The sequence below is a fragment of the Homo sapiens genome, chromosome 11 (assembly GCF_000001405.40).
Source record: "Homo sapiens chromosome 11, GRCh38.p14 Primary Assembly".
Classification (NCBI taxonomy): Eukaryota; Metazoa; Chordata; class Mammalia; order Primates; family Hominidae; genus Homo; species Homo sapiens.
Genome location: NC_000011.10, coordinates 108,498,556 through 108,518,631, shown reverse-complemented (window position 1 = coordinate 108,518,631; position 20,076 = coordinate 108,498,556). Strand labels below are relative to the sequence as shown.

The 20,076-nt window shown below is 40.4% G+C and overlaps 1 protein-coding gene and 1 long non-coding RNA gene across 26 annotated transcripts in view; one reads left to right on the top strand and one right to left on the bottom strand.

Moving 5' to 3' along the window:
* Positions 1 to 13,197, top strand: part of EXPH5 (exophilin 5) — a 102,102-nt gene extending 88,905 nt beyond the window's left edge. For 17 of the 24 annotated variants that reach the window (XM_017017397.2, NM_001308019.2, NM_001441070.1 and 14 more), the window contains 2 exons: positions 259 to 397; positions 3,757 to 13,197. In XM_017017397.2, coding sequence (XP_016872886.2) covers positions 259 to 397; positions 3,757 to 9,095 — 5,478 coding nt within the window. In that variant the 3' untranslated portion in view covers positions 9,096 to 13,197. The remainder of the gene's footprint in view (positions 1 to 258; positions 398 to 3,756) is intronic. The other 7 variants (XM_017017398.2, NM_001441060.1, NM_001441059.1 and 4 more) reach the window with 1 other exon arrangement.
* On the bottom strand, positions 909 to 19,620 carry LOC112267909 (uncharacterized). 2 transcript variants are annotated; one of them, XR_007062880.1, is made up of 3 exons: positions 18,982 to 19,571; positions 3,263 to 3,321; positions 909 to 1,273 (listed from the first exon to the last, which is right to left on the bottom strand). It is a non-coding gene; the product is annotated as an uncharacterized LOC112267909 (long non-coding RNA). The 2 variants fall into 2 exon arrangements; XR_947995.3 differs by lacking the exons at positions 909 to 1,273; positions 3,263 to 3,321 and adding an exon at positions 16,767 to 17,822 and having other exon boundaries at positions 18,982 to 19,620.

Genomic DNA, 20,076 nt, shown 5'->3' with positions numbered 1-20,076 from the left:
AGGAAACTTGGCAGAGAGAGGCTCAGTACCTTGCCTGAAGGCTTATCACTGAAATAATTAATGTAGGTATAGAGAAGTTGCAGGTCAGTTACAAATGGCAAAAACAACACATTATAAATTGAGAAATAAATATTAGAAAAATGGATTTGCAGTCCTTAGACTAATACTTTTAAGCTTGGGACAGTTTGGTGGGAGCGTGTGAGTATTTTGACTGGTGAAGGCTCAGAAATAATATTGTGTTCTCTGCTTTAAAATTAGCAGGCAAAAATATACAATTCACCTCTGGAAAATCATCTAGTTGACAGTACATTTGTCCCAAAGCCAGCAGTCATGAGGGAGGAGAGTGGCATGCCTCCACCGTGGGATGCTTCACTGCTGGAGAATGAGTTTTTCCAAGGTAAGTTCATGCATTAAATTGCCTTTGCAACTACTGATAACTAAAGGAAGTAAACAATAACTAGTTTGTATCAAACTACTCAAAACATATGAAACACTGTACTTTATTTTTTACATCCTCATGTTTAGCTTATTTGAAGAGGATGCTGATATGTTATTAACACAAGTATTAAGAATCTTATGATTAAATATAATCTAAGCAAATATTCTTGAATCATGGACTGATAAATATATGGAGTAGTAATAATGTTTAATATTTAACCTTAGGGGTCAGGAGTTTGAGACCCCATCTCTACTGAAAATACAAAAATTAGCTAGGCATGGTGGCACGCACCTGTAATCTCAGCTACTTGGGAGGCTGAGGCAGGAGAAGTGCTTGAACCTGGGAGGCGGAGGTTGCAATGAGCCGAGATCATGCCACTGCACTCCAGCCTGGGTGACAGAGCAAGCAGAAAAAAAAAATTAACCTCAGGTAAAAAGGAAATACATCTTTAGGAAATACATCTACAAAGTTTGCTGTTTAATAGACTTTTATTGTTCCAGATTAGGACCCAAATGCACTGTGATAAAATCTAATTGACATTAGACAATTAACCTTGTATGATGATAAAAACTGAGACAGGTTCCAAAAGCAGTGGCGTTCCAAATGCACATGTATCTTATTATATGATCATAGTTTACTTTTACAAAGGTTATTCTATATAAGCCCGGCCATTTGAAAAGTTAACTCTGAAGTCGCCACCAGCTTCACTTTGAGGAACTTCATTTAGTTTGCAAAGGCAATACCATCGCCTGGCCCATATTGTGTGGGACAGCAGTCGGGTAGAGACAGTCAGCTGGACAGTCAACGTAGGGGCCTTCTTCAGTAAGATGCTTCCTGGCAGAGAACAGAGGAAAATCTTTGTTCCAAAATGAAGGTTTTGTTGAAAGAGGAGAGCTACTGTTTATGGAATGAAAAAATAATGAAAAAATAATAATAATGTGGCCTTTCTGAAACTAATGTAGAGAAGCAGAACAGGAATTTTTCTGATGTCAGGAGTGATGAGTAAACAGCATTGTTAATCTGGGATTCTAAGTGGCTTTAATTTAAAATCTTGTCATGGGGATGTTAAGAATGGTTACCTCTAGGTAGAATTCCTGGCGATTTTACTTATATTGTTATACTTTTCTGTATTTTCTGTTCTAAATACATTCTGCTCTTGTAGTCAACCAAGACTTTAAGGGGAAAGAAAAACATAAACAGCTTGAAAGGGAGAATGGGTATCAAAGAGATTTTCATTATAATTTGTTTTAAAGATAGATTTTTATTCATTATGCAGTTGTTTTGTTTTGTTTTTTGCCCCACCTTATACTTCAGCATTGCTTGATTATTTTATTGTGGCTATAGGGAACAAATTACTTCAGGTCCTAGGGGTAAATAAATATTTTTCACTAAAACATTCACAGATAATTCCCTAAAAGAATTCCTTAATTACATATCCTTAATGTTCAAGATCAGTTTTTCTTTTGGTTGTACAAACTTAATAACACCAACTTGCAAATAAAATAGGATAGGGAAAAATCCAGAACAGATTTTTTTAAATCCCTTTAGCATCTGCCCTAACTTAATTGGCATGTTGCATGTACATTTCACTTATGTGTGCTCAGACACTTACATTTCCTGTCATTATACAGTTGAAATAAAATTTGTAATTTATTTGTATTTATTGAACATGAATATAGTAAACTATATCTATTATAGAGTGGGTCTTAGAGAGTCTACACACCTCAAAAGATTATGATTCTATTCAAAATCTAATGGGTTTTTATTGAGGAAAACATGTCAAGTACAATTAAATGGATACAATTCAAAGAAAAGCCAACTGTGTCACCAAAAGGATGCTGTGGCTTGTCTAAGATCACAGAGGCTGTGGTCCTAGAGAGCATGAGCCCTGGGTCTGGGCTTGGTCTAGGTCTTCAGTTATCGTAAGGGGGCCCCTGGGCACTGACTTTGACACCACTCCCTGACTTTGCTACCGAGAGAAAAGTCATCATTATTTGACAACAGCAACTTCACGTCTTTGTAAAACTATGAGCTCGTCTCACAGTAAAATCATCTGTATGGTTCATAAAGAGCAAAATATGAAAAGTGAGTTTTTTTTTCTGGTTTTTTTTTTTTTTTTTTGAGACGGAGTCTCGCTCTTTCGCCCAGGCTGGAGTGCAGTGGCGCCATCTTGGCTCACTGCAAGCTCTGCCTCCCGGGTTCACGCCATTCTCCTGCCTCAGCCTCCCGAGTAGCTGAGACTACAGGCGCCCGCCACCACGCCCGGCTAATTTTTTGTATTTTTAGTGGAGACGGGGTTTCACCATGTTAGCCAGGATGGTCTCAATCTCCTGACCTCGTGATCCGCCCGCCTCGGCCTCCCAAAGTGCTGGGATTACAGGCATGAGCCACCGTGCCCGGCCCAAAAGTGAGCTTTTATGGCACAGAGGTTGCATTGTACAGTGGTTGTATGCATGGATTCAGGAAACAGACTGTCTGGGTTCAAATCCCAGTGCTGTGTGATCTTAGGAATTTGCTTAATCTCTTCTTGCATCAGTTTCCTCATTATAGAATGAGAATAGTAATAGGACCAACCTTCTAAGTTTGTGTGACGACTTAGTGAGTTAATATATTAAGCGTTTAGGACTCTGCCTGACACATAGAAAGTGCTGTTTTATAGGAGTGTTAATGGGTATTAATTTTTCCAGAAAAAAAAATCTACCATTGGCATATCATTTAATAATATTATATATCCAACTAAGTATGTTCATAAATTAGGTGCTAAGCTTTTAGTGGTAATACTGTTTTCTTAACAGTACAACCTAGAAATCATATGCTACTTACAGAGGTTCATTTCTATTATGATCCCAGGAGGTATACACAGCTGGAATTATTGTAGCAACCTAGTGACATGAAAGAAACAGAAAGACAAGGCTTAATAATACTAACAATTGTCTAGTTATTCAATGTCTGCATTATTAATTCCATTTTATTACTGGTCCATATCTTAGAAAAACTCAATACACTTTAGATGCACTAAAAAAAAACATGATTAAAATTCATTGTTAGAAGAATATAGTTCAATTTCCTTACGGCGTTAATGGAAGGTTTACTTTGAAAAAAAGTGATTTGAAAAAGTAGGAAAGAAATTTTCACTATAGTCTTATAAAAGTCAGGCTATCTTAAAAATATAATCAAAATTAATGTTATAACATGATAATATGATAAAAATAAAATTATAAATGATTATGTTTCTTGAAAAGGAGCCTTCAATAACTCAAATTATTATTAAACTGTAAAAACATACAGAAAAAGGTTGATTCACATTCTCTTTTCAGTTTTAGATGACTTGGATAGCAAATTGGCTCAGGAACAGTCTGCAAGCTCAGTGAATACCAGAACACCCCTCAACTATGGATCAAGAACACAGTTCGGTCACTTTTATTCCAGTGGTAACAGACATGGTAATATCACAGAAAGGCACAAAAAACACTATAATGAAACTTCCAATATGTCTATCTATGACATCCTAAGACCAGGAACTCCTAGGGAAGGTTTTAAAACCTTTTCTCCTAGGACAAGCACAATTTATGATATGTATAGGACAAGGGAGCCCAGAGTCTTTAAAGAAGATTATGTGCAAAAGAATACTTTTGGCAGTACTTCGCTGTGTTTTGACAGCAGGCAACGGTCGGCCTTACCAGCCACAGGGCATTTCACAGCAAGAAGCTTACATTTTCCAGCCACAACTCAGAGCAAGAGTGGGTTTATACCACCAAGGCACCAGCAGAGTCCAAAGAGAACTCCTTTATCATCCATCATATGGAACAGATCAGATTCCTCTAGAGACAGGGAGAACCAGGAAGAGTTCCTGAGGGCACCATCACCAATGGAAATTGATCCCGCTGACAAGTATGTGTATCCCAGGGGTTTTCAGGAGAATAAGAGATATGAATCGTACCATTCACAGAATGTTTACCAACGTGTTAGTTTAAATGCTCCCATGGAGAATGCAATGAGTCCCGACACTTTTGAGAACTCAGAGAACATGCCATTCTACCATCAAAGCAACACATTTACCAGATCTTTCTTCAGCAATACCTTTGGACGAAGCGGAGAACAGAGGAGATTTGGACAAGGTCCTTTTTGGGGCCAAGAGAAAGGACATTCTTTCTGGTCTGACTTTCATCGAAGCAGGAAATCATTCAGTTCTTCTGACAGAGACTTTGAAATGATTTCCATGGAAGCAAATAGTGTATCAGCCATTCATGGCCATAATGTTTCTTCTGAACACTGGGAATCATTTTCTTCTGGTTATGGAACAGATGTTTCCAGAGGCCAAGAAGAGCCACATCCTTGGCAGTTTGATTTTCAGAGATCCACACTGGATAGCATGGTGGTATCACATGGTAATGAGACCCAGTTGACTCCTCATTTTGGCACACCAAATGTTTGCTCCATGACTGGTTCAAGCTATCACGTCAAATCTAGTGAGTTGGTAAGTCAACAGGACAGTTCTCCTGTAGAAGTACATATAAACAAAGAAGCTTCCTCATTTGGAATTGCTCAGACTCTAGCATCCTCATTCAAAACTTCCTTTTCCCAGATTTCTGATGACAGAAGGAATCCTCAGAGTCCCAACTTGCAGAATCCCACAGTCACTTTGCAGAAAATTTTTCCAAATAAGCCTGCCTCTCATCCAATGAGAAGCCATACAGAAGTCACTGTGACCAGCAGCAATTCAGTTGACTCTCTGCCTCTTGCCAAAAGCCAGCCCAATATCTTGGTCACAGAAGTAAATAATGAGAAAGACTTAAATGAATCTATTTCAGAAGAAGACAAACAGCTAAGCAAGATGGACCAGACAAACAAGGCAGGTGAAATACCCCAACCTGTTTCACAGACAGGGATCTCAAACTCTTTACCTGATTTTCAAAATCCCTTATCCCAGGACTCAGCCAAGAGCAACGGGTTTGGTTTTAATGCATCTACCATAATAAGTTCAAAAAAGTCACCCAGAGTCTTTTCCAGGAAAGATACCTCCAAAATGTATATACCGCACACAGATAAATCCAATGACATTAAACAAGATAAGAGGTTTACTGAAAACAGAAAACTTGGCTCAACAGCTTCCCTTCCTTTCATTCAGGAACACAGAACACCACCATCTTTCCCCAGGACAGACCAAGGTTGTCACCAGGAATTAACTGTAAATAATGAAGATATTTCAAGAATTATTACAAATAACCACTGGAGCTCTGCACTGACTGATACTCAAAATGCACAATACTCAAAATGCAAGTTAACTCCTGGCCACAAGACCTCGTGTGATTCTTTAGATCTGTCATCAGCTGCACTACCAGATTCCTCACCATCAAAGAATTCTTCCCTTGATGCTCCTGTGGTTCCATCTACTACAGTGTTCTCCAGGAGAAGTCCTTCAGACAAAGATCCATCGCTAGGAGAAAGAGAAGAAAAAGACAATGCTGGGAAGAACCAAAAGAATCAGTTTATTGTAAGCCACTCAGAAAACCAAGAGAGAAATGATAGTCCTGTGCCTACACATGATGAAGTGGTTGATGTCAAATGCCATTCACACTCTCCTTTTAGGAATGAAAGAGGAAAAGGAAAAATAAGGCATCATATATCCTGTATTGAAAAGTTAAGCAAAACAGAAAGTATATCAGTACCCACCAGTGATCACAGGAGCCTCATTGAAGCAAATCAAAGCAATTCCAAAGTTTCTGAACTTGACACAATTTATTGTACCTTGCCAAGAAAATCAAGCAGTTTTCTCATACATGGCAGGCAGTCAGGAAGTAAAATAATGGCTGCTTCATTGAGGAATGGGCCACCTCCCTTCCAAATCAAAAATAATGTGGAAGATGCAATGGGGAACTATATGTTAAACAAATTTAGTCCCAGTTCTCCTGAGTCAGCGAATGAATGTTCCAAAGTCCTTTCAGACTCAGCCCTGGAAGCACCTGAAGCCACAGAGAGAATGACAAATGTAAAAAGCAGTGGATCTACTTCCGTTAGAAAAGGACCACTTCCATTCCTCATCAACAGGGCTATGTCATGTCCCTCAGGGGAGCCACATGCCTCAACTGGAAGAGAAGGAAGAAAAAAGCCATTGACCTCAGGCATGGATGCTTCTGAGCTAACACCAAGGGCTTGGGAGAGAATCATTAGCCCTGTGGAAAGTGACTCATCTGTTAGAGATTGTTCTTTAACCAAAAGACAACACCAAAAGGAAAACTTCCAAGAATACACTGAGAAAGAGGGTAAAATGGCTGCCTCCAGGAGAAGTGTATTTGCTCTTTCAAATGAAGACCCTTTACCTTTTTGCTCAGACTTGTCAGGAAAAGAACGTGGGAAAACATTACATAAAGTTAAGACGACTAGTACGTTTTCTGTTTCTGGTGATGAAGATAATGTAAAATGTCTGGAGGTGGTCTCAATATATTACACTCTACCGAGGAAACCCAGCAAAAAATTCTGTAACCTCCTTCAACAGTATACACAAAATACTAATTTACTTATAGAATCACCTCAAGTGGAGACTGAAACATTTCCTAACGCTTTAGAAAAAGACAAACAGAATTATTCTACACGAGAGCAGTCAGGAACACCTTCATGTGAAAATCTAAAGATGTCCGTCAACTCTGATCAGACGCTCACCACTGAAAATATGACTGCCTTCCGATTATCAAATAGGGGGCCCCTAGCTCCTACATTACAGGAAATGGCTTCTGTTGAGGCAGCTGTTTCTCTTCCTGAAGAGGAATCTAAAGCTAGAGAGATTTTTTCAGATAATTTAGCTAAAACACCTCTAGGTGATTCAGAAAACAAGAAGGAAAGAGGCAAAAAGTTGCAAAGTGAAACCCTGCATACTTCATTGATGCTTCAGAGAAAAAATGTATCCGAAGAAAAATCTGAAAATTGTCAACAATCCATTAATTCAAGTAACAGTGGTCCCTCTAGTCTTCCAGCTCTTTCAGAAGTTAATATTGGAAATTCCCAAACTAGAAGAAGTTCTTGGGAGTGTACAGGGAGTGGTAGAGCCATTCCATTTACTGGAAGTGGCAAGTGTCCCCAGAAAGATCACACATCCACAGCTGTAGGTGATGGCTCCAGTGGATCACAGCCTAGGGAAGGCAGAGGGGACATTGGAACCAACTGCCAAAAAATGACTAATAAAACACTTTCTCACTCAGAGAGTCAAGTCTTTGCCCTTACTCCAGCATTGCATAAACTACAGCTTGGTGAGGAGACTCAGTCAGATGAACCAAACTTAGAGAGTCTGCAGTCTGAACCAAGAGAATTACCTCAAAGAAGTCAGGAGGCAAATATGACAGAGAGCAGGAAGGCTGAAGATGAAATGCAGAAGTCAGCTTGGGATCAACCTTCACTTCCTGAAGGAAACAAAAATAAAACCAACTTGGATGACCTAGTAAAGGGGGAAAATAGATCTTCAGTTAAACACAGATTGGCAGCCATGTCTAAAGCCAGCAGAAAATTCCCAGCTAAAGATGTAAGCCCCAGAAGACATGTAGCTACTATCTTCCCCCAAAGTGGAAGCAGATCTGGCTTTGACCATTTATCTCTTGGCACAGTGGAGTGCAACCCACTGTTCCCTGAGCCTACTCCAAAATCTGCAGAGTCCATTGGCGAAAGCAGGTTGAGTGAGAACGGAAAGCATGTGAAGAAATCCGAGAACCTTCTCCCCATTACTGTACTACCCAACAGAGAACCTTCTACACACGTCAGCAACCAGAAGTCTAACAGCATTTCACAACGACATCAGAATGAGTTTAAAAACGTCTCAGAATCACCATCAAAGCATGAGAATTCTAAAGACGTCACAGCAGCTCAGAATTTAGTAAGAGAATCAGGAGCCCCATCACCCATCACATTCACCAGCCTCAGGGAAGCAGAATTCTCTGACAATCAGAGGAGGCTGAGCCCTCCTTTTCCACTGGAGCCTGCACAGAAATCTAGAGTAAGCAGTCCACTGGCCAGTTTTCTGCAGCAACAAAGGAGTGCTTCATCTCTGGAGTGGGAACCTGAGCCACACCTCTATCGTTCAAAGAGTTTAAAAAGCATTAATGTTCATGGCGATCTACTACGAAAAAGCCATCCTCCAAAAGTCAGGGAGCGCCATTTTTCTGAAAGCACTTCTATTGACAATGCCCTGAGTCGACTGACCCTTGGGAATGAATTCTCTGTCAACAATGGGTACAGTCGAAGATTCAGATCTTTTTCTGAACTCCCCTCCTGTGATGGAAATGAAAGTTGGGCTTATCGCAGCGGGACAAAAACAGGTCCCAGGTCTGCAATATCTATATACAGACCTATCGACTATGGGATCTTTGGGAAAGAACAACAGTTAGCTTTCTTAGAAAATGTAAAGAGGTCACTTACACAAGGAAGATTATGGAAACCAAGTTTTCTTAAGAACCCTGGCTTCCTAAAAGATGATTTGAGGAACCCTCCCAACCCCTCAGAGTCATTAAGCTCAAATTCTCCCAGTAGTCAGGTGCCAGAAGATGGCTTATCTCCAAGTGAACCGCTTAATATCTATGAGGATGACCCAGTGGACTCAGATTGTGACACAGACACAACCACAGATGATGAATACTACCTGGATGAAAATGACAAAGAGTCAGAACTGTGAGGCTTTTTCAATAAAATGCTTTACTTTTTTCACCAAAAGCTTATAATGGAACTAAGGTGTACATGTGCATGTGCATGGAAGGATAAAAGATCTAGTCTGGGCAGTGTCTGCTCTGAAATGTCCCACATCTCCTTTTTTTTCCTCCACACCCTATATAGACACTTCCTGAATGCTAGAACAATGAATTCTTGTTTTGAGAGAGTCTCTGCTATTTTCTATCTCTGTAAATGTTCTTAGCCTGCCTTTCCACCACTCCCACTTAATCCCTGATTCACTGTCTGATTTGGGCTTTCTGCTTTACTTCCCTCCTAACATTTTTCATCTTTAATTGTGATTTACAACCCTAATATCCCAGGCACATACAAAACTTATGAATTACCCAGCACAACTGTGAAACTCTGTATTGCTTCTTCCGGTCCACACCCTATACTCATGACATTAAATAAAAGGTAGGGATGATAACAGTGGGGTAAATATTATCATCCTGTTTGACTCATGAACATTTAGGAAGTTTAAGGTGGTGATCTTCTCTTTCAAACAAAGATAAAGGAATTTATTTTTTAACCTGAGAAACTGATTGCAAAAAGGAAAAAAAAAAGATAAAGGAATTTTGTAAGTACTTCCTGTTATATCCGTAGTGGAGCCTGGGAGGCACATGGTCAAAGCACATGTTGAGGTTATAGATTAGGACCTGAATCCCTAGTAAGCCAATAGAAGGTTAGCAGTCCTAGAAATTCCTCTGAAACCGTGGGGGACTGGCTGGATTATTAAGGGCTTTTAGTCAAGCCAAGGACTTAGGCCAGGCAACCTGACCATACAGAAAGTTGCCTGGTCACAGAATTTCTGCTTATGAAGAGAACATAGCTGAGGAGCAGAGGTAGGAAGTAGGTATCCCTTCATGGGACCGACTTACCTTTACTGCAGTTCTCTCAGCAACTGGCTTTTCCCATTTCCTCAGAACTATCCATTTTCACATTTTCTTTTTTTTGTTTTTGTTTTTTGTTTGGTTTTGTTTTGTTTTTGTTTTTTGGAGACGGAGTTTTGCTCTGTCACCCAGGCTGGAGTGCAGTGGCATGATCTGGGCTCACTGCAACCTCCGCCTCCCGGGTTCAAGCGATTCTCCTGCCTCAGCCTCCAGAGTAGCTGGGATCACAGGCGCACCCAGGCGCACGCTGCCACGCCCAGCTAATATTTTTGTATTTTAGTAGAGACGGGGTTTCACCGTGTTGCCCAGGCTGGTCTCGAACTCCTGAGCTCAGGCAATCCGCCCACTTCAGCCTCCCAGAGTGCTAGGATTACAGGCATGAGCTACCATGCCCAGTCTTTTTTTGTTTTGTTTTGTTTTTGTTTTTGTTTTGAGGTGGAGTCTTGTTCTTGTTGCTCAGGCTAGAGTGCAATGGCATGATCTCAGCTTACTGCAACCTCCTCCTCCCAAGTTCAGGCAATTCTCCTGCCTCAGCCTCCCAAGTAGCTGGGACTACAGGCACCCACCACCACACCTGGCTAATTTTTTTTTTTTTTTTTTTTTTTTTGGTATTTTTAGTAGAGTTGGAGTTTCACCAGGTTGGCCAGGCTGGTCTCAAACTTCTGACCTCAGGTGATCTGCCCACCTCGGCCTCCCAAACTGCTGGGATTACAGGCATGAGCCACCGTGCCTGGCCCACATTTTCTTTAATTGCAAGGTAGAACGCTTCTTTTCAGGTGGGGCATTTTAGTCCCAAATATCAAGTGGGAACCTTGGCCAAGTCCCTAAAATGCCATCAAGTCAGATCTGACACCCTGGAATTCATTCTTTGCTGCAGGATCATCTACGAAACCCTTGGGAAATTCTAAGGCAGAGCTCCTAAGGGCTTGTCACTATGATTCAGTGATTTATCTAGAGTAAATCACTTATGATACCCACTGATATTTTGGCTTTCCTAACTCTTTATTTGCCATGCAGAACCTCGGGGGATTTCTCTCCTAATTCAGGATAAAGACCAATAGATGGCAGTGAAGATAATCTGCTTTAACTACAGACAGCATGGATTCCTGGATCTCAATACTATGATAGTCAACATGAGTGGATTTTATCTTGCTTGGTTTATATTTGCTTCGCGACCTAATCTAATTTTCCATTTTTTATACCTAGTCTGTTTCATCATTATAAACTAAGAATAATGATAGATGTTGGTGAAGTGTATAGAGATCTGGAACTGATAGAGAGTTAAGAAAGAACTATGTTGTTGTTATCCTTCTAATCATTCCCTTACATAGACGCAAAATGCGTGGGTTACTTTACATGGTTCCCATGCAACTCAAAGCTAATGAACATGCGGTAACTAACATGAAAGCTATTCCCTAAATCTGTCAACTATTTTAAACTTCAAGCTCTGACCAATCCTGAGCTCAGAAAGCTCAAAAATCAAATATTGTGAACTTTTCAATGCAAATTTGTATGGTAAAGAATAAATAACACTATTTCTTGGTTAATATATGTTTGTAAATTCTGCCTTTCCTCTTTTTCTATTTATCTGATTATTATTATTATTATTATTATTTTCTTTGAGACAGAGTCTCACTCTGTTGCCCAGGCTGGAGTGCAATGGCGCAATCTCGGCTCACTGCAACCTCCGCCTCCCAGGTTCAAGCGATTCTCCTGCCTCAGCTTCCCGAGTAGCTGGGATTACAGGTGCCCACCACCACGCCCAGCTAATTTTTGTATTTTTAGCAGAGACGGGGTTTCGCCATGTTGGCCAGGCTGGTTTCGAACTCCTGACCTCAGGTGATCCGCCTGCCTCAGCCTCCCAAACTGCTGGGATTATAGGCATGAGCCACCTCGCCAGCCCTATTTATCTGATTATTTAAGTAAAACTTTAATAAACCATGACCTACATTTTCTATGCAATTTTAAGATACTCAGAGTTAATATTTTAATATTGAGGTTCTTGATTTTTTTAATGATCAGCTTTCAAATTATATTTCAGTATATACTCTGAGTCTACGTGTATGCTACAAAAGGTGAAATGAAGTTAGCTTATTTTTCAGTGAGTTTAGGCTATATTAAGAGTTAGGTAAGTTAGGTAAGGGTGAAACTGCTTTGGGGCCCAGACTGCGCTGGAATGTACTGTTTAAATTCAAAGGTAATTGATGGCCAGTGTTCAGTTGCTCTATTTGTAACGTTTGCATGTTGGTCTGGCTGAAGTATCAGGAAAACACAAAATTCATGAAAATAGCACCTTTTATAATTTTATACTTTTATAAAGCACTTGTTAAAGAAGTATAGCAAATTTCTATGTATTTTAACATACAAGTCGCTGCATTTTAATGTTCATTTTTGGTATAGCTATGGTAACTTATAATAGTCATTTTTATATTCATAACTTGTTTTCTGAAAGATATAGTCATTATTAAAATAAACATTCATGTAAATGGAGTAAATCATAGGGGAATCAATCGTAATAAATACCTTATAAATTATAAACTTGTTTAGATACTAGATTTCTATAACCATAAATTTTATACTGTAAAGTCTGTTTAAAATAGGGTTTAATGAAGTTATTTTAATTTTTAGAGACTCCCCTCTAAATAATTTACTCCTACATTGTAAATACATTGATGCCAACAAAATTCCAACTGCTACTAACAAAGGTTTGGTTGGTGATAAGCTAATAACAGCTACTTTGTGTAGGAGGTAAATATGTGTACTGGAGGGGGTAAAAATCCATTTAGGTTATGGCAAAGATGGGAATCAAACTGTAAAACTCATAGCCCCATAAAATTAATATTCTTTGTTAAGTGCCAGAGGGTTTAAGAGAACTTCTTGCTTAGAGTTTATTGATAATAATAATGCTTCAGAATATCCCATTTAAATGTACAGTGTAAATATGTAAAATATTTTACTTCCCAGGCAAGTTTGTGGCTGTATTGCCACTTAGTGGCTCTTTGTGACTGGCAGTTCTGTATATCTGAAACAAATAAGCTGTAAGCACTTTTGTTAAAACTTTGTCAAATAATCCTTTTATGTACTTGTTCTCAGACCTGTTCTCTGGTTATGAAATGTGTTAAAGACAAGGTGCAAATTTAAAACAATGCCTGTATTGAAATAAATGACTTAAACAGATGCACTATTTGATTTGGTTTTTATTCATATCCTCAAATGATTATTTATTTATTTATTTATTTATTTATTTATTGAGATGGAGTCTTGCTCTATTGCCCAGGCTGGAGTGCAGTGGCATGATCTTGGCTCACTGCAACCTCTGCCTCCCAGGTTCAAGCAATTCTCCTGCCTCAACATCCTGAGTAGCAGGGATTATAGGCATGCACCACCACTCACAGCTAATCTTTGTATTTTTAGTAGAGATGGGGTTTCACCATGTTGGTCAGTCTGGTCTCGAACTCCTGACCTCATGATCCACCCACCTTGGCCCCCCAAAGTGCTGGGATTACAGGCGTGAGCCACCGTGCCCAGCCCAAATGATTATTTTTAAGTGTGAAAGTTTCAGGAAAAATATAAAATGTAGGGGGCTCAGGGGAGGCATAAGTTTTCAAACCAGTCTCTCTTATGGCTGTTGAATGAGATCTGCCATATAGGTGGTTTTTAAAAAAACAGTGGCTTGCTTCTTTCTTATTTGTACCCAAAAAGCAACGAACCAACATCAGGAAATCAATGTGCTTTGTTGCATAATAGGAGAGGAATGAAGAAGGTCTGACATTTCTTTCTGGAGATTCACACATTTATAAAGGAAGAGGGGCCAGGTGTTATGGCTGACACCTGTAATCCCAGCACTTTGGGAGGCCAAGGCGGGTAAATCACCTGAGCTCAGGAGTTCGAGACCAGCCTAGCCTGGCCAATATGGTGAAACCCCGCCTCTACTAAAATACAAAAATTAGCCGGGCATGGTGGCATACACCTGTAATCCCAGTTACTTGGAGGCTGAAGCAGGAGAATCACTCGAACTCGGAAGGCAGAGGTTGCAGTGAGCCAAGATCGCACAGCTGCACTCCAGCCTAGGCAACAGAGTGAGACTCTGTCTCAGGAAGAGGGAGCTACATGGAGCTGGGGCATCTACTGTCCAGTAGCACTGATGAAAGATAAGCAGGTCTCTCTAGTTGAATATAAGTCATGCAATGTTAATTTCCCCCAAGCAAATTAATTAATAGATTTGTACTAATCTTTTACCTTTTCTGGAAAAGCAACCCAAAGCCCTTTTTCTATCAAGGACAGGAGAATGTCAACAGCATTTTATTCAAAATAGTTTTACTGTCCTTTATTAAAATTTAAAATACAGTGGATCAGCTAGGATTTTTAGTGATAGACAATAGAATCCTCTCTAGCTGGTTCAAATAGAAAAAGATCTGTTGGAGGCTGGGTGCAGTGGCTCATGCCTGTAATCCCAGCACTTTGGCCAAGGCAGGCAGATCACTTGAGGTCAGGAGTTCAAGACCAGACTGGCCAACATGGCAAAACCCCATCTCTACTAAAAATACAAAAATTAACCAGCTGTGGTAGTGGGTACCTGTAATCCCAGCTACTGGGGAAATTGAGGCAGGAGAATCGCTTGAAACCAGGAGGCAGAGGCTGCAGTGAGTGGAGATCATGCCACCACACTTCAGCCTGGATGACAAAGTGAGACTCCATCTCAAAAAAAAAAAAAAAAAGAAAGAAGAAGGACGAAAAAGAAAGAGAGAGAGAGAAAGGAAGGAAAGAAAGAAGGAAAAGATCCATTAAATTGTAAATTTTGCTCACAAACTCATTAATAGGGATAAGGAGATAGATTTTGAGCTGAAATTCCAGGACCAATTCTAAAAACCATGCCACAGAATTGGACCTGCCAAGGGGGCTGCTGTCTCTGTTATGACCAGGAAGATGCTGAATCAAGACATCAAGTGGGCCGATATCCTGAATCACTACCTTCATTTGGTCCAGAAATTGCTCCTATAGAAATAAAAACACTAGTATGTATAGACTTGCATGTAGGATTTTTATTGCTACAATGTTTGTTGTGGCAAAACCTGGAAACAAAGTTAATACCTGATTAAGAAATGACTGAATATATTATAGAACATTTACATATGTAATATTGAAAAGCCATTGAAAATTCCTCTTTTGCTTTAGAAATTGTCTAATTTTCAATGTCACTAAGTTGACTTAGAAGAATTTCCATGAGGTACTGTTGAGGGAGAAATGTAAAATTCCATTTTTGTAAAGCATTCACCAAGAAACCTGCATATGCATGTGTACACATGGAGGGACACATTGGTTATTAATGTTGGTTGTTTTGTAGACAGGTGTTGGGGGAGAGGATGTTCAAGAACAGGAGAAAAGAGAGAGAAGTTTCTTTCCTCCAAAGAAGAAACTGTAAATATACACACATATACATATATATAGAAAAATATAAATAAATGAGAATAATTATTATTATTCATGTACTTAAGTGCAACTATTTATCGGGGGTGTACAGATTAAAAACTAAATATACGTTTTTAAAGGATTTCTGTACAGGAGAATATTTAATAAATTACTTTTCTTTCTTAAAAAATTGATGATTTGGCTGGGCGCAGTGGCTCACACCTGTAATCTCAGCACTTTGGGAGCCCGAGGCAGGTGGATCACTTGAGGTCAGGAGTTCAAGACCAGCCTAGCCAACATGGTGAAAACCTGTCTCTACTAAAAATAAAAAATTACCCGGCATCAGGGTGCACGCCTATAGTTCCAGCTACTTGGGAGGCTGAGGCAGGAGAATCTCTTGAACCCAGGAGGCGGAGGTTGCAGTGAGCTGAGATTGTGCCACTGCCCTCTAGTCTGGGTGACAGAGTGAGAATCTGTTTCAAAAAAAAAAAATTGATGATCATACTTGATTCTACAAAACATTGTGTTTTAATAATATAAATGCCAGCACTAAGTTTCCCTCTAGGCCCATGTTCTTTTCCCCAATCATCCTTTCTAGATTATGTCATCTTTCCAGTCTGGAAACTACAATTCCATTCTAGAAATGTTTTGAAGAGATGTAGTAGGTACTGATATGATTGCCCAGCAGACCCTTTTTCTTTGCTCTGGAAACTGACATCCCCTCCCTTCAGGCCATATGTTGACTGTGGAAGAATCAATGTTCTTATACAACCCTAAGAATCTGGGCACAATTGATTGTTTCAAGGTGGAATGTTTTGGAGGAAATTGGTTCTGGATGGAAGTTAATATTTAAACCAATAGTCTCACAGTCTAAAATGTACCCTATAGACTGTAATACATGGAAGGGCAGGGACTGAGTTTATATACCCAATACCTTGCATAATGCATGCCATAAAGTCATGATATAAAGGGTGGGTTGAATAAATATTATTGAAATTATTAAAATAAAGTTTTGTGCATTTTATAGGATCTAATCTTGTCTAACCCTATGTACGTTTTTTTATTCATTGGTGACATGGAAAATTAGACAATTTCTACAAAAATTAGCCAGGTGTGGTGGGGTGCACCTGCAGGCTCGGCAGGAGGCTGAGGCAGGAGAATCGCTTGAACCTGGGAGACAGAGGTTCAATGAGCCAAGATCTCGCCATTGTAGATATGGGTGACAGATCGAGAGTGGCTGGGTGCCACTCCAGCCTGGCTGACAGAGCGAGAGTCCATCAAAATAAAATAAAATAAATGAATAAATAAAAATTAAAGAAAGAAAATTACACAATTTCTAAAGTTAAAGAGGAATTTATTATAAGGATGCAAGGATGTCTCAGAAACCAGAGATAGAGACGCTGCTCATGAACTGTACCAGACTCTAGTGCACTATACATAACCCAGAGAGTTTTCTGTATTTCTCTTCTATTTTCAGAATACAAGGGAAAAAAATAGCAAAGGTTATAATGCTGCTGTTGGAGAGCAGTCGGTACGTTAAAAATCTCCTAACCTTGATTTTAAACTCCCAGGGAAAGGGGATTAGTTCAGCATGAGTCAGTTTCCAAAATAGGAGCCAATAAACTGTAGCCATAGTTAAAGTTATGCTGTTACAAAGCCTCACTGTTAACCAGGCGGACTGTGGAGTAAAAAAAGAAGAGTTACCGAAAAGGTGGAAATGTTATGAACTGAGTCGACAATAATTAGCTGTGAATTTTATGTGACATTAATGTAAAGATTCCAGAGGCCACTGCAATTCACAGAAGTGTATTGAATCTAGACCTTCCAGAGTCACACACTGACTTTAATTATAGGTGTTTGAGATTGGAGTTCAATATGGAGATGAATGTGAAAGGGAATGAAAAACTTCTCGGAGTGTATCGTTTACTTCAAAGTTTTATACATGATGTTCCTGCTATCCAGAATGCTCTCCTCCTTCTCTTTATGTGGCTGATTCCTGTTTGACCTTCAAGGTTCGGCATAGATGTCATCTCTTTCAGAAGCCTCTCTTGGTTCTCCCAAGACTAGATTAGCTGGCCTTCATATGTAGTGTATAAGTACACTGTACTATGTTGGAAAAGGCTCTCTGCCATGGCCCTTGAACTTCTCTGATCATTCTTGCTGTTCTGCCACTCCAATGTCCAGCTCTTTATCAGTCCATTTCTCTGGGCGGTGTTTGTAGCAAGCAACGTTTGAGGGATGAGATAACATCTCCCCACCTTCAAAGAGCAGGCTTAATTCTGTGTAGCCTAAAAGAGGCAAATTCCTTTAGCTCAGTGCTCCTCTCTTGTAATGCAACCCACTTCAGGCATCCATCATAGTCTGTGTGCACTGTCCCCACAGGGCTTGGGAGGCTTAGGAACAAAAAGCAAACCAACATAAAGCTCTGGCTACTGCTTTTGCAGTGAATAATAAAGTTCTTTGATACAGGAGTGTTGTATCTTTTGACAGCATCCATGAAACAGTAACAGGCCAACTTGTTAGTTTGTAAGTGGGATAAAATCCTAGACCATGCAGTTCTTGAGGCCCATATTTTAACACCTATACGCTATTTACATTGCCTCTTAGTCTTTCTTCTCCACTAAACTACAGGCACTTTGAAGTCAAAATACAATATCTAAAATATGGTGGGCATTTAATAAATATGTGTTGAATGAATGAAATTTGATTAATGATAAAGAGTCTGGTCAAAGCACTGGTTGCTCTGAAGAGATATACTCTTTGGAGACAGGTTAAGATGAGAAAGAAAACAGGTTGGTGCAGGCTTAGTATTGCTAAACGCTAGTGTGTTCAGGTACAATTATATGGCTTCCCTGACGTGTTCTCAAAAAAAAAAAAATACTGGGTGTTAACCCAAATGTTATGTAATTTATTAGGCCATGTTTTACTATAATCCAGTACCGGCTAAACCTCAGATTATTTCTCTGGAAATTGTTTTAAGTCAGATTTTGAAAGAGTGTGAGCAAAATGTGTTCCATACAATTTTTTTAAGCGATAGTTGGAACAGAGCAAAGCTTTCTATTTAAAGCAAGGAGACATCCCCACAAAATAAAATTTATCAGTGAAAGTAATACCAAGTAATGTTACACTTTAGCCCTAAAATTTACCGGCAACTGACTACCAGTTCCTGAAACCTTTCCAAAGTACAAAGAATACTGTCCATAACCACTGCTTAGCATTACTAAAATAGGTCAAGAGAAGTGTGAAAATGTGGGAAAGATTTTGCCCTGGTAAAACTTGGTCACAGCAAGAATGCTGAGTAGCACGGTTAAAGCCGTGAGGCGGACAAAGGCTTGTCCAGTGCCTGGCTCTGATGTTTTGGGCATTAAGTTCCCCCAAGAGGGTGCAGAAATCCTGTGTCCATTCTGGGGTGTGAGTTCCTTCTGGATCATTCAGCCAGAGGAGAATCTTTATTGGCTTTAAATAAATTCAGATCTATTAACAATCCATTAACAAATTTGTATCCATTAACAAATTGGATAAAATGATCAAAAAAGAGAGGCAGATAGTAACCTTGACAATCTCTTCCTGGATCCAGCGTTCATCTTCTGAGGAGTGGTGGAGGTGGCTGAGACCAACCACGCACCACCACCCCTTCTCCCACTTCGATTACAGAGGCTTTGAGGTAAAGCTCGCACAAGGGCTCAAGGCAAGGCCTGGTCTTCTGCCACCCCAGTGCCCAGCTCCTCACTCTGGGCTTGGCCCAAACTCCGTGGATGTTCTGTAAACACCTGCTGGAAGAAGAGGAGTGCGGGAGGAAGCGGGGAAAGGGATGTGTGGGGTGGGGGGATCACGGTTCTGTGAGGGAGGCTGCTAAGCAGAAAAGCAACAAAACCGGCCACAAGAGAACGGTGCTGCTGTGAACAGAGGGCTGTGAGGGAGGGCGGGGGGCGTGACCTTGGCGCTCATCTTGTAAACTCGGAGACATTCCTTGGGAAAAGATATTTCCCTAAACTACATCGATCTTGGGGCCGGACCCTTTCATCGTCCCACAACAATCACCACCGGGTCTACGTCCTTTAAAAACACCTGAGCGGCGGACCCGGTGGCTCATGCCTGTAATCCCGGCACTTTGGGAAGCCGAGGCGGGCGGATTGCTTGAAACCAGGAGTTCAAGACCACCTTGGGCAACATAGGGAGACCCCGTCTCTACAAATAGTAATAGTAATAATAATAATAATAATAATAATAATAATAATAATAATAAATTAAATTAGCCAGCGTGGTGTCGTGTGCCTACAGTCAGTCCCAGCTACTCGGGAGGCTGAGGCGGGAGGATCTCCTGAGCCCACGAGTTCCAGGCTGCAGTGAGCTGTGGTCGCGCCATTGCACTCCAGCCTAGGCGACAGAGCCAGCCCCCTTGTCTGTATAAAAACAGAGAAAGAAAAGAGAAGAAAGAAGGAAAGGAAGGAAGAAAAAGAAAGGGAAAGACCACTGGAAGTGGAGGCCAGGCGTGCCTGAAGCCTTGGCAATCAACAGCCAGCGCACACTCGCAGCCTCGGTCTCTGGGCGGGCCTCTCCACCCCTTTCCTCCACGGGGCCTATGGGGCTGCGGGGAGGAAGGGGCGCACCCATCGTCGACCCCTACAGGGCGCGCAGTGGGTGATT